Raw genomic sequence first — 13954 nt, 5'->3', positions numbered from 1 at the left:
GGAATAATATTTTGTCTCCTGTCCCTGACCTTCTCAGCATTCACTCAAAGAGCGAATGGGAAGTATATAACATGTGAGTCACCCAGTTTTTTTTGCAAAAATCATAGAAAATGTTTTCTTCTTGTCTTTGAGAAAACTAAAAATATATCTCAGAATGAAAAGCTGGCAAAGAATGAAGCTGAAAAATATAAGTTTTTCTTCTTGTTTCCCTGAAATCTGGAAAATATTTTCCAATTATGGTTCATATCCCTTTAAAATATGAATAGCCATATATACAAAAAGAATAGTATTTCAAGTGAAGATGTATATTAACTGATGAATTGCTGGAGAAGGGTATATTTTGGTAATTTTTGTTACTTGGTGAGCAGAAGAAATATGGCATATTTCTCTTTCCAGCAATATTTTCTTTCTTAAGCCCAAATACTGATTTTTCAGTTCCATTACATTAATAAGACTTGGTATTATACAAATTAGTTATTATTTAAGAAACAAAAATCTTCAGCTCATATGACTTTTTCTTGTTTTTGTTGTTATTTGGGCTAGAAGTTAACCGGAGGGTAATCAGGGGAAAAGTTTTATGTTTCGGATTTGCCTAGATAGGAAAGGCCTCAGAAAACAACCACAGTGAGATGCAAAATAACACCAAAGGTCAAAGGAAGAAAAGGAACATGTGGAAGAAAGCAGTGAATAAAAAACATGGAAACTTTTGTAATATAAACTTTATCTGCCTTTCTTATTTTCCTGCAGCTGACTTGACCATGATTAACAAAAAACAAGCACATTGAACTTGGCCACAGTCACGCAGACCAGCTGTTCTCCCTAAGGTCAATGTCATAATAGGCATATGAAGTTCTTACATTCACCTGGAAGCATATAAAAATATTTAGTCAGAGCAATTTAAGAGCCAAAGTATGGCACGCTTCCTCACAGCATATAGCATATCCAGCTGCCTAAAAATGAAAGAATGTATTTTTTATGCTAAACATTGGTACAGATACATGAAACAGCATAAAAGACCATATATTCTCTAATGACAGAGTTCTTTCTTATTACCACTTTAAAACACTACAAGTAACCGGGAGTAGCTGAAATTGAAAGTAAATATTAATTTGTGCCCTGGCATGGCACTATATTGAGAAAGAGTATTTTTAAATATCTTGGTTTTGTATTTTATTTTTATACCACTAATAATAATGAATCAGGTATTCATAGTACTGTTGAAAGAACTACATACCCAGATAAATACAGTATCAATAATGCAGGTAAACAGAAGAAAGAGTAGACCCATTGTATATAGGTAATTTATTGGAATCACAAAATTTGCATTCCTGGTTTCAAGTCTAGTGTTCTTAGCAAGAAAAAAAACTCTCCACAATTCATATTTTCCCTTCTATTGTTGTGATTTATTAAAATAAACGTGTAGGAATTGAGTCATGAAAGTCACAGTTTTGTTGTTTAAACAAAAGTCTAATTGTTTACTACTTTATAATATACATGATGAAGAATTTTGGTTGTTTCCAAGAAGAAACAGCACGCTCCCTTTCATGTTTCAGTTACCTCTGCCATCTCCATGTCTTCCAGACTAATGAATGTGTTCAGCATGGAAACTATCAATTTTGTTAGCTGCCTTATCCTCATGGGCTTTCCCTCAAGCCCAGAAATGCAGCTCCTCTACTTCGGTCTCTTCTCAGTAGCCTATACTCTCACCCCGATGGGAAATGCAGCCATTGTCTGTGCTGTGTGGTAGGACCAGCACCTTCACACTCCCATGTACACCCTCTTGGGAAATTTCTCTCTCCTGGAAATATGTTATGTTACTGCAACTAAACTGCTGGCCAACTTCCTCTCCACAAGCAAGTCCATCTCATTCATGAGTTGTTTTGCACAGTTCTACTTCTTCTCTTTGGGGTATGATGAGGGCTTCTTCCTTTGCATCACGGCCTTTGACAGGTATCTTGCCATCTGCCGCCCTCTACGTTATCCATGCATCATGACTAAACAAGTATGCACTGGCCTCATCATTTTTGCATGGTCATGTGTCTTTGTAATCTTCCTAACTCTGGTGATTCTCATTTCACAGCTATCCTACTGTGGCCCAAATATTATCAACCATTTTATTTGTGATCCCGTCCCATTGAAGATGCTGTCCTGTTCTGAAGACATCATCATCACCCAGCTCATTTACTCCACATTCAATTCTGTCTTCATGATTGGCACCTTTCTCTTTATTCCTTTGTTCCTATGCTCTGGTGATTCTGGCTATAATACGGATGCCTTCAGAGGCTGGCAAACGAAAAGCTTTCTCCACTTGTGCCTCTCATTTGGCAGTTGTCACCTTATTTTATGGCTCTATCCTGGTGATGTATGTTAGTCCTGGATCAGCACACCCAGTAAAAATGAAAAAATCATTACCTTGTTCTATTCTGTGATAACACCACTCTGTAATCCTCTAATATATAGTCTCAGGAACAAAGAGATGAAAGATTATCTGAGGAAAATCTTCAGGACTGGAAAAGATGTTAATAAAATATAAATAAGAGAATTTTCATTTATCAAATTAACTTTATTATACATGAATATTTGTCTACAAATTTATTGTTTTATTTAAGAACTGCTATAATAATGAGCCATTAACATCTTAAACACCACTCACCACAATCTGCATTACTGTGGTCTTATTTAAGAATGTTTCAACAGTGAATTAGATTTTCTGTTGAAGTGAATAATACGTATGTAAAATTCTATGTCTATGCTAATCAGAACGTGTATATGTAACTCAACTTTTTAAAAAGAATGCAGACGTCCTTTTTGTATTACTGAGCTAAAGCAATTGGTAACACATGTGACAGATATCATAGACTGCTCTCACAATTAACACTATAATCCAATCATTATCCACTAAGAGATACTGGCTGAAAAAGAGCCAAGTTTTAAGTAGTCCAGCTTGTCAAAATGTAGCAAGTGGTCTTTACATTATATAAATAGACTAATAGCCTTAGTTTGATATTCAGTGTTTTTTCAGAGAGTACACAACCAAGAATTAGGAATTTAAAGCAGATTCGTTACCTGGAATATAGTGCAGCAAAGACCTAAACAAAAAGGTGAGCATTACTCAGGATATAGCTTTCTTTGTTGTAAACCCAGTTTAAACACAGGATTTGATACCATAACTAATTTAGTATTAATACTGTGTGACTTATTTGAGTACTGCTGGACAGTACTAAAATAAAACTCTTAAAATCCATTTTATAAAATATTTGACTAATATCTTGCTTTAATTTTGACTTTTGTTTCGTTCTATGCCATTTTTTCAAATACAACTCTCAAAAACTTAATGAAAAGGAATCACAATATGAAATGTAGTTTACAGAGTTTTAATTTGTAAGCCATCATAGCTATTTGCTCCACAAAATGAGGTGCAACTGCAATTAGTTTTTGTGTCACAAGGAAGCTGAGTTGAGAATATTTTCTGGGTTTGAAAGGCAGGATTTATATGAGTTCTGGGGAAAAGAGTGGTTGTTTTATTATACCTCACATGTGAAATGTAAATTAAATAGCTAAATACTTGCCTGAAAGCCTCTTTTATATAGGAAGAAAATACAAACAATTTAGAACTTCATTCAAACTGACTTCAACGGTGGGATCTCTTTAAAGTGCTGATAAATTTAACACTGAGTTTCACCTGTCCATGCCAGTTTTGTTTATATTTCTTAATTATATGAGAAAAAATGATAGAAATTCTTAATAAAATATAATCTCAACTGTTATAAATGTGCACAGTGCCCATATTTGTAATTATCTTCAAATTGATCATTAACCAATCTTATCTTACCAATATTAAATTCTATCTCATATTGAGCTTGCTGGCACTTGATAGAATGAATTGAAAACTATTAGATACAGTAAAAAGCATTTCCATAAGATACAAACATGCCTTCATTGTGACAATATCTCTTCCTCAGTTCATACCTATGGCTTCATGGTATTTCACACAACCAGCTAATAAATGAAGAAAGAGCCTCAGGCTTGGATCACAAATGGATTGTCTGAATCTACACTTAGACAAGATAAAAACTGACTAATGCTGCAGCTTAACGCCTCTCCAGGGTAGCCATAGAATGTAGTGGTGGAGGAAATCCTCGTAAGCCAATGATTCGGTAGCAATATACTTAGTTGTCCACTTTGAATGTTGGGAGAAATAGCTTGCTATGCAAGATAAGGATATGTGTAGTATAATGATTGTTGTAAAAAAGTTTCACTAAGCAAACCCCCTCAAAATACAGAAAAATCAGATTTAATGAAATTTGAGGTGGAGGCCTATGTATGGGCCTATGAGAATAAGCACAAAGTATGCAGATCTTTGTTTCTCAACTCTGTGCCCATTAGAGAGTATCCTCCAGAGTGGAGGCACTCAATAGCTAAGTGAAAAGAATGAGTCATCTAAAAATGTCAGTCAGCTCTGATTTCATTCACCTCAGAGCTTATAAAAGGGAATATAAAGAAAGCTGTATAAATGGAAAATATGCACGTGCCAAAAAATACAGGCATTATCTTACCAAGGTTGGTGACAAATCACTGAGCCACTGAAGATGCAGCCTCGATGAGAAACCAATGTTAAGCCCTCAATATGGCACCAATCTTTGAGAAAACCAGCCAGCAATGGGTGGCAAATTGATTACATCAAATTCCTTTTACTTTGGAGGGTGCCAAGTGACATGAAAGAGTATAGTCAACCTCTACTTCTTCATTTCATATTCACTCCCCAACCCCCTGTGATCTTGCTTTCTATCTCCTCTGCTCAACTAAAACTTCTTTTCATCATGTTTCTGTAGAGGATTAACAATAATCATCATATGGGTATTTTATCTTAGGTACAAGAAAGTATAGTAACTCAAATAGATTTTCCAATCTACCATTATTTTCATTAGTCAACATTATCTTAGCCAGAGAAGATGTGAACTCTACATTTTGTAATTCTACATTGTTTGAGTTTGAAAACCTTTGCTATAGCCTGGGAATAAGTTGTTTTTGGATCAGTTGCAGCCTCTTATGAACAAGATTAAAGATGAAAAAGTTGAAAAATGTGTATTACCCTATAATTGCAACTCAAAATCTAGCTTATTTTTCATGTTTCACATGAAAACAGATGTTTAACCTAGTAGTTCTCAACTTTAATATCCATATCAATCACCATCACGTATGGATCTTTTCAAAATGCAGATTCTCTATGACATCAGGAAGATTGAAGAATAGGAGGTCCCAGTTTTCCCTACCCTTCATAGAATGTTCAATTAACAACTGTACACAGACAAAAACTCCTATGTGAACACTTCAAAACTCAAGATTAAGCCTGAGAAACCTGTGTGAACTAAATAACCAAACAAAATGCCACATGAGAAGTGTAAAAAGAATAGCCTCACTCTGACCACATCACCTCTCCCTTTCTCCCAAGTCAGCACAACACCACTTAGAATTTTTCTAGGCCCACAGTTTCTACAGTAGGAAAAGAGAACTAGAGGTGGACATTCACGTTCCCTGTGTTCCAAGATACCTCCCCCAGGAAGCCAACTCTGGTCTCACCTTGCAAGGAGCATAGGGGTAATAGCATGGCTAGACTACCTGTGGTCAGGTAGAAACAGAGCAGGAAGGCAAAGCTCATAGTGACAAACATGCAGATCTTGGTGGTAGGTCTATGTAACCACCAGCAGTGGTATGTGATTAGGGGCATTAGCGAACAGTATTAACAAACCAACAAAGTCAAGCTGGTTGCCCCGGGAAATAGGAAGTTCTACCTGGCTTGAATCCCTAGACAATCAGCCTCCATGCCAGCCCCAGATCCTACCACAAAGCCTTGTCCAGAGGGGGAGATGACCACAGCATATTTTGGTAAAGTACAAGGGCTAGACCTGCCCCACTCAGAAGCCCAAACAGTGGTTTGGCTTAGTCTCAAAACCCACAACAGGGACCCAGCCAGGCAGGGAGATGCATACCACAGCCCATTATTAGCACAGTGTAGGGTCTAGAAATGCCTTACCTGGGGACTCTAACAGTGGTTCAACTCAGCCTCAAAATCATCCCCAAAGCCCACTCAGAGATGGAGATACTTGCCGCAGTGCATTTTGGCAAAGTGAAAGGGCTATATGCACCCCAACAAGGAATCCAAACAGTGGTTTGGCTCAAATCTCAAAGCCCACCCCAAGGTGCTACCCAGTCAGGAAGGCAAACATCAAATGTGCATTCCCACCAAGTGTAGTAGCTGTTCTCTCCATCCTGAGCAGTGTCCCCACTTAACTTTATGAGTAAGCCTGCAACCCCATACAACTCCAGAACTCAAATAGTGGTACCATCCAGCCAGGAAATACATCCTGTGGCCTGGCCCAGTCAGAGACAATCACCATCCGAGCAAGCAATTTTGTCTGATTGCATAGCTCATTTAGTGGTCATACCAAAAATCAGAGCCCAGCCAGTAGTCCCAACTGAACTCAGAGCAAAGACAAAAGCTGAGCCATCCGGAGAACCTGAAAGCAGAAAGCAAGCTCTACTTTCCCAGGGTTGGTACCAGTTGGCCAATCTAGAATGAAAGGCTAGACTAAATAATGAAAGTCTATCCCTGCCAACTAATACCTATAAAAAGAGGTAGCTACCTCCTCAAATGAACAGACAGCAGTGCAAGAACAAAAGGATTGTGAAGAATCGAGGAATGATGACACCTCCAAAATAAACTAATAAAACTCTTAACAATGGACCCTAAAGGAACGGAGATTTGCAAAATGACTGACAAAGAATTCTAAAAAGTCCAGGAGCTGGTTTTTTGAAAGGATCAACAAAATTGATAGACTGCTAGCAAGACCAATAAAGAAAAAAAGAGAGAAGAATCAAATAGACGCAATAAAAAATGATAAAGGGGATATCACCACCGATCCCACAGAAATACAAACTACCATCAGAGATTACTACAAACACCTCTATGCAAATAAACTAGAAAATCTAGAAGAAATGGATAAATTCCTCGACACATACACTCTCCCAAGACTAAAACAGGAAGAAGTTGAATCTTTGAATAGACCAATAACAGGAGCTGAAATTGTGGCAATAAGCAATAGCTTACCAACCAAAAAGAGTCCAGGACCAGATGGATTCACAGCCGAATTCTACCAGAGGTACAAGGAGGAACTGGTACCATTCCTACTGAAACTAGTCCAATCAATAGAAAAAGAGGGAATCCTCCCTAACTCATTTTATGAGGCCAGCATCATCCTGATACCAAAGCCAGGCAGAGACACAACCAAAAAAGAGAATTTTAGACCAATATCCTTGATGAACATTGAGGCAAAAATCCTCAATAAAATACTGGCAAACCGAATCCAGCAGCACATCAAAAAGCTTATCCACCATGATCAAGTGGGCTTCATCCCTGGGATGCAAGGCTGCTTCAGTATACGCAAATCAATAAATGTAATCCAGCATATAAACAGAACCAAAGACAAAAACCACATGATTATCTCAACAGATGCAGAAAAGGCCTTTGACAAAATTCAACAACCTTCATGCTAAAAACTCTCAATAAATTAGGTATTGATGGGACGTATCTCAAAATAGTAAGAGCTATCTATGACAAGCCCACAGCCAATATCATACTGAATGGGCAAAAACTGGAAGCATTCCCTTTGAAAACTGGCACAAGACAGGGATGCCCTGTCTCACCACTCCTATTCAACATAGTGTTGGAAGTTCTGGCCAGGGCAATTAGGCAGGAGAAGGAAATAAAGGGTATTCAATTAGGAAAAGAGGAAGTCAAATTGTCCCTGCTTGCAGACGACATGATTGTATATCTAGAAAACCCCATTGTCTCAGCCCAAAATCTCCTTAAGCTGACAAGCAACTTCAGCAAAGTCTCAGGAAACAAAATGAATGTACAAAAATCACAAGCATTCTTATACACGAATAACAGACAGAGAGCCAAATCATGAGTGAACTCCCATTCACAATTGCTTCAAAGAGAATAAAATACCTAGGAATCCACTTACAAGGGACATGAAGGACCTCTTCAAGGAGAACTACAAATCACTGCTCAATGAAATAAAGAGGATACAAACAAATGGAATAACATTCCATGCTCATGGGTAGGAAGAATCAATATTGTGAAAATGGCCATACTGCCCAAGGTAATTTATAGATTCAATGCTATCCCCATCAAGCTACCAATGACTTTCTTCACAGAATTGGAAAAAACTACTTTAAAGTTCATATGTAACCAAGAAAGAGCCCGCATTGCCAAGTCAATCCTAAGCCAAATGAACAAAGCTGGAGGCATCACACTACCTGACTTCAAACTATACTACAAGGCTACAGTAACCAAAACAGCATGGTACTGGTACCAAAACAGAGATATAGATCAATGGAACAGAACGGAGCCCTCAGAAATAATGCCGCATATCTACAACTATCTGATCTTTGACAAACCTGACAAAAACAAGCAATGGGGAAAGGATTCCCTATTTAATAAATGGTGCTGGGAAAACTGGCTAGCCATATGTAAAAAGCTGAAACTGGATCCCTTCCTTACACCTTATACAAAAATCAATTCAAGATGGATTAAAGACTTACATGTTAGACCTAAAACCATAAAAACCCTAGAAGAAAACCTAGGCATTACCATTCAGGACATAGGCATGGGCAAGGACTTCATGTCTAAAACACCAAAAGCAATGGCAACAAAAGCCAAAATTGACAAATGGGATCTAATTAAACTAAAGAGCTTCTGCTCAGCAAAAGAAACTACCATCAGAGTCAACAGGCTACCCACAAAATGGGAGAAAATTTTCACAACCTACTCATCTGACAAAGGGCTAATATCCAGAATCTACAATGAACTCAAACAAATTTACAAGAAAAAAACAAACAACCCCATCGAAATTGGGCAAAGGACATGAACAGACACTTCTCAAAAGAAGACATTTATGCAGCCAAAAAACACATGAAAAAATGCTCACCATCACTGGCCATCAGAGAAATGCAAATCAAAACCACAATGAGATATCATCTCACACCAGTTAGAATGGCGATCATTAAAAAGTCAGGAAACAACAGGTGCTGGAGAGGATGTGGAGAAACGAACACTTTTACACTGTTGGTGGGACTGTAACTAGTTCAACCATTGTGGAAGTCAGTGTGGCGATTCCTCAGGGATCTAGAACTAGAAATACCATTTGACCCAGCCATCCCATTACTGGGTATATACCCAAAGGACTATAAATCATGTTACTATAAAGACACATGCACAAGTACGTTTATTGCGGCACTATTCACAATAGCAAAGACTTGGAACCAACCCAAATGTCCAACAATGATAGACTGGATTAAGAAAATGTGGCACATATACACCATGGAATACTATGCAGCCATAAAAAATGATGAGTTCATGTCCTTTGTAGGGACATGGATGAAATTGGAAACCATCATTCTCAGTAAACTATCGCAAGAACAAAACACCAAACACCACATATTCTCACTCATAGGTGGGAACTGAACAATGAGAACATATGGACACAGGAAGGGAACATCACACTCTAGGTACTGTCGTGGGGTGGGGGGAGGGGGGAGCGACAGCACTGGGAGATATACCTAATGCTAGATGACGAGTTAGTGGGTGCAGCGCACCAGCATGGCACATGTATACATATGTAACTAACCTGCACATTGTGCACATGTACTCTAAAACTTAAAGTATAATAAAAAAAATTTAGTGAACTACAATAATATAAGGGTAGATAATTAAAAAAATTGAAAAATAATAAACAATATAACATGTTTGACAAATAGGAATAATAAAAATATAGAAATCTTAAAGAATAAAATGACTGAAATGAAAATGCAATAGAAAGCTCTAAGAACAGGCTCAATCAAGCAGAAGGGAAACAATCAATAAGCTAGAGACAAAACATTTAAAATAATTCAGTCAGAAGAGAAAAAATTAAGAAGATTGAAAAAGAATAAAGACAGACTCTGGATATGAAGGGAAACTATTAAGACCTAATATTCATCTAATAGGAGTTTTCAGAAAGAAAAGAAATAGAAAAGAGACCAGAAAGCATATCTGAAGAAGAAATTCTAAAGAACTACCAAATCTGGAGAAAGTTGCTAACATCTAAACACAGCAAATGCAGAGTTATCCAAACAAGTTTAAGCCAAATAGGAGTTATCCAAGATGTACAATAATTCAAATACCAAAAATTAAAGAAAAAGAAAACATTTTGAAAACAGCAAGTAATTAGAAGCATATCACATAGAAGGGAATATCAAAATAGCTGTCACTGGATTTCTCAACAAAATCTCAGGAGACCAGGAGAGAGTAGGATAATGTATTCAAAGTGCTGAAGGGAAAAAACAAGGCCAACAAGTCTACTTAACCCAGCAAAGTTGTCCTTGGCAAATGAGAGAAAAGCAAAAACTTTTCCAGACAAACAAAAGCTATGAGAGTTCATCACCACTAAATATGTCTTAAGAGAATTACTAAAGGAAGTTCTTTGAGCTGAATTAAAAGGCTGCTAATTAAAAATATAAAACATATGAGAACACAAATGCAATGGGATAAGAAATACAAAGTCATATCCAGAATATTCTAAGACTGTAATGATGATGTGTAAAGCAATTTTTTCCTATAGTACAATGGTTAAAAGACAAATCTATTAAAACACATAGAGCAAAAATAGTCAATGGATACACATAAGAAAATGATGTATATTTTGACATCAAAATCGTAAAATGTGGGAGAGGAGAAATAAAGTGTACGGTTGTTGTTGGCAAATAAAGCATACAGTTGTGATTGTTGTCAGCTTAGAATAGTATATCATATAAAAATAAAGACTAAAAACATCACCCAACACTACACAACTACATGGAAATTAAGTGACTTGCTCCTGAATGACTTCTGGGTGAACAATGAAATTAAGGCAGAAATCAAAAAAGTCTTTGAAATAACTGAAAACAGAGACACAATATGCCAAGATCTCTGGGATGCAGCAAAAGCAGTGTTAAGAGAAAAGTTTATAGCACCAAACAATTACCGCAGAAAGTTAGATATACCTCAAATTAATGACCTAGCATCCAACAGAATAGCTAGAAAAGCTAAAACAAAGCTAGCAGAAAAAAAAATAACTAAAACCAGAGCAGACCTGATTGAAATACACCAGAAAATTAATACCAAGAATCAATGAAACCAAAAGTTGATTCCTTAAAAGGATAAACAAGATTGATGGGCTGCCAGCTACAGTAACAGAGAGAGAGCGAGAGCAAGAGGAAGAGAGAGAGAAGATTCAAATAATCACATTAAGAAATGACAAAGGTGACATTACAGATGATCCGATAAATACAGAATATCCTCCAAGACTATTAGGAACACCTCTATGAACACAAACTACTAAATCTAGAGGAAATTGATCAATTTCTGGAAACAACCTCCCAAGATTGAATCTGGGAGAAATTAAAACCCTAAAAGACCAATATTAAGGTCCAAAATAGAAGCAGCAATAAAAATCTACCAACCAAAAAAGTCCTAGACCAGATGGTTTCACAGCCAAATTCTACCATGCATACAAAGAAGAGCTAGTATCAACTCTACTTAAACTATTCCCAAAAATGAGGAGAATGGACTCCCCCCTAACTCATTCTATGAAGCCAGCATCTCTTTGATACCAAAACCTGGCAAGTGAAAGTTTATAGCTACAAGTGCCTACACCAAAAAAGTAGAAAAATTTCAAATAACCTAGTGATGTATCTTTAAAAACTAAAAAAGCAAAAGCAAACAAACCCAAATTATTAGGAGAAAATAAATAATAAAGATCAGAGTAGTAATAAATGAAATGGAAACAAAGCATACAATACAGAAGATCAACAAAGTGAAAAGTTTGTTTTTTGAAAAGATGAACAAAATCAACAAAACTTTACCTAAGAGAAAAAGTGAAAAGACCCAAATAAATAAAATTAAGACATAAAACCAATACTGCAGAAATTAAAAGGATCACTTGCAACCATATGCCAATAAACCGGAAAATCCAGATAAAATAGATAAATTCTTAGATACATACAACCTATGAGGTTTGAGCCATGAAGAAATCCAAAACCTGAACAAACCAATAACAAGTAATGAGATCAAAGCCCTAATAAAAAGTCTCCCAGCGAAGAAAATCCCAGGACATGGTGGCTTCTCTGCTGAATTTTACCAAATATTATAGAGGAATTAATACCAACACTATTCAAACTATTCCAAAAAATATAGGAACACAGAATACATCCAAATTCATTCTATTAGGCCAGTATTACTCTGATATAAAACCAGAAAGAGACATATCAACAAAAGAAAACTACAGACCAATATCCCTGATGAACACTGCTGCAAAAATCCTCAACAAAATACTAACAAACTAAATCCAACAGCACATTAAAAATTTAATTCACCATGATCGATTGAGTTTTATTCTAGAAATGCTAGGATGATTCAACATATGCAAATCAATAAATGTGATTCATCACATAAAGTTAAAAACAAAAACCATAGGATCATTTCAATTGATGTTGAAAAGACAATCATAAAATAGGAGAAAATATTTGTAAACTATCCATCTGGCAAGGGATTAATAACCAGAATATATAAGGAACTCAAACAACTCTATAGGAAAATTCTGATCATCCAATTTAAAAATGGGCAAAAGATCTTGCTCAGAAGAAGACACATAAATGGCAAACAGGCATGTGAAAAAGTGCTCAGCATCATTGCTCATCAGGGAAATGCAAACCAAAACTACAAGACGAATCATCTAACCCTAGTTAAAATGGCTTATATCCAAAAGACAGGCAGTAAGAAATAGTGGCTAGGATATGGAGAAAAGGGAACCCACTATTGGTGGGAATGTAAATTAGTACAATCACTATGGAGAACAGTTTGGAGGTTTCTCAAAAAAAACAAAAATAGAGCTACCATATGACCCAGCAATGCCATTGGTAGGTATATACACAAAAGAAAGGAAATCAGGATATCTGAGAGATACCTGCACTCCCATGCATATTGCAACACTATTCACAATAGTCATGATTTGGAAGCAACCTGTTTGTCCATGAACAGATGAATAAAGAAAATGTGGTTAATGTACACAATCGAGTAATATACAGCCATGAAAAAGAATGAGATCCTGTTATTTGCAACAACATGGATAGAACTGGAGGTTATTACGTTAAATAAAATAAGCCAGGGACAGAAAGACAAATTTTCCATGTTCTCACTTATTTGTGGGAGCTAAAACTTAAAATAACTGGATTTATGGAGATAGAGAATACAGTAATGGTTACCAGAGACTAGGAAGAATAGTAGGGTTAAGGGGAGGAATGGATAATCGGCATAAAAATACAGTTAGATAGAATAAGTAAGATCTAGTATTTGATAGAACAACAAGGTGACTATAGCCAAACAATTTATAGTACATTTAAAAATAACTAAAAGAGCATAATTGCATTGTTTGTAACACAAAGAAAGGGTAAATGTTTGAAGTGATGAATATCCCATTTACCGCGATGTAATTATTATACACCGTATGCCTGTAGAAAAATATCTCATGTACCCCATAAACATATACAGTCACTGTGTACCCATAAAAATTTAAAAAGGAAAATATAAAATAAACAACCTGATATTACAACTCTAGTAACTAATAAAAAAAGAACAAACTAAACCCAAAGTCAGCAGAAGGAAGGAAATAACAAGGATCTGAATAGAAATAAACAAAATAGAGACTAAAACTACAATAGAAAAGAACTCAATGTAATAAAGAGTGTTTTTTCAGAAGGATAAACAAATCAACAAACCTTTAGCCAGACCAAGGAAAAAAAAGAAAGGACTCAAATATTAATACAATCAAAAGTGAAAAGGGAGACATTACAACTGATACCATAGAAATATAAA

Source organism: Homo sapiens, assembly GCF_000001405.40.
Source record: "Homo sapiens chromosome 15 unlocalized genomic scaffold, GRCh38.p14 Primary Assembly HSCHR15_RANDOM_CTG1".
Lineage (NCBI taxonomy): Eukaryota > Metazoa > Chordata > Mammalia > Primates > Hominidae > Homo > Homo sapiens.
Note: the sequence above shows the minus strand (reverse complement) of the source record.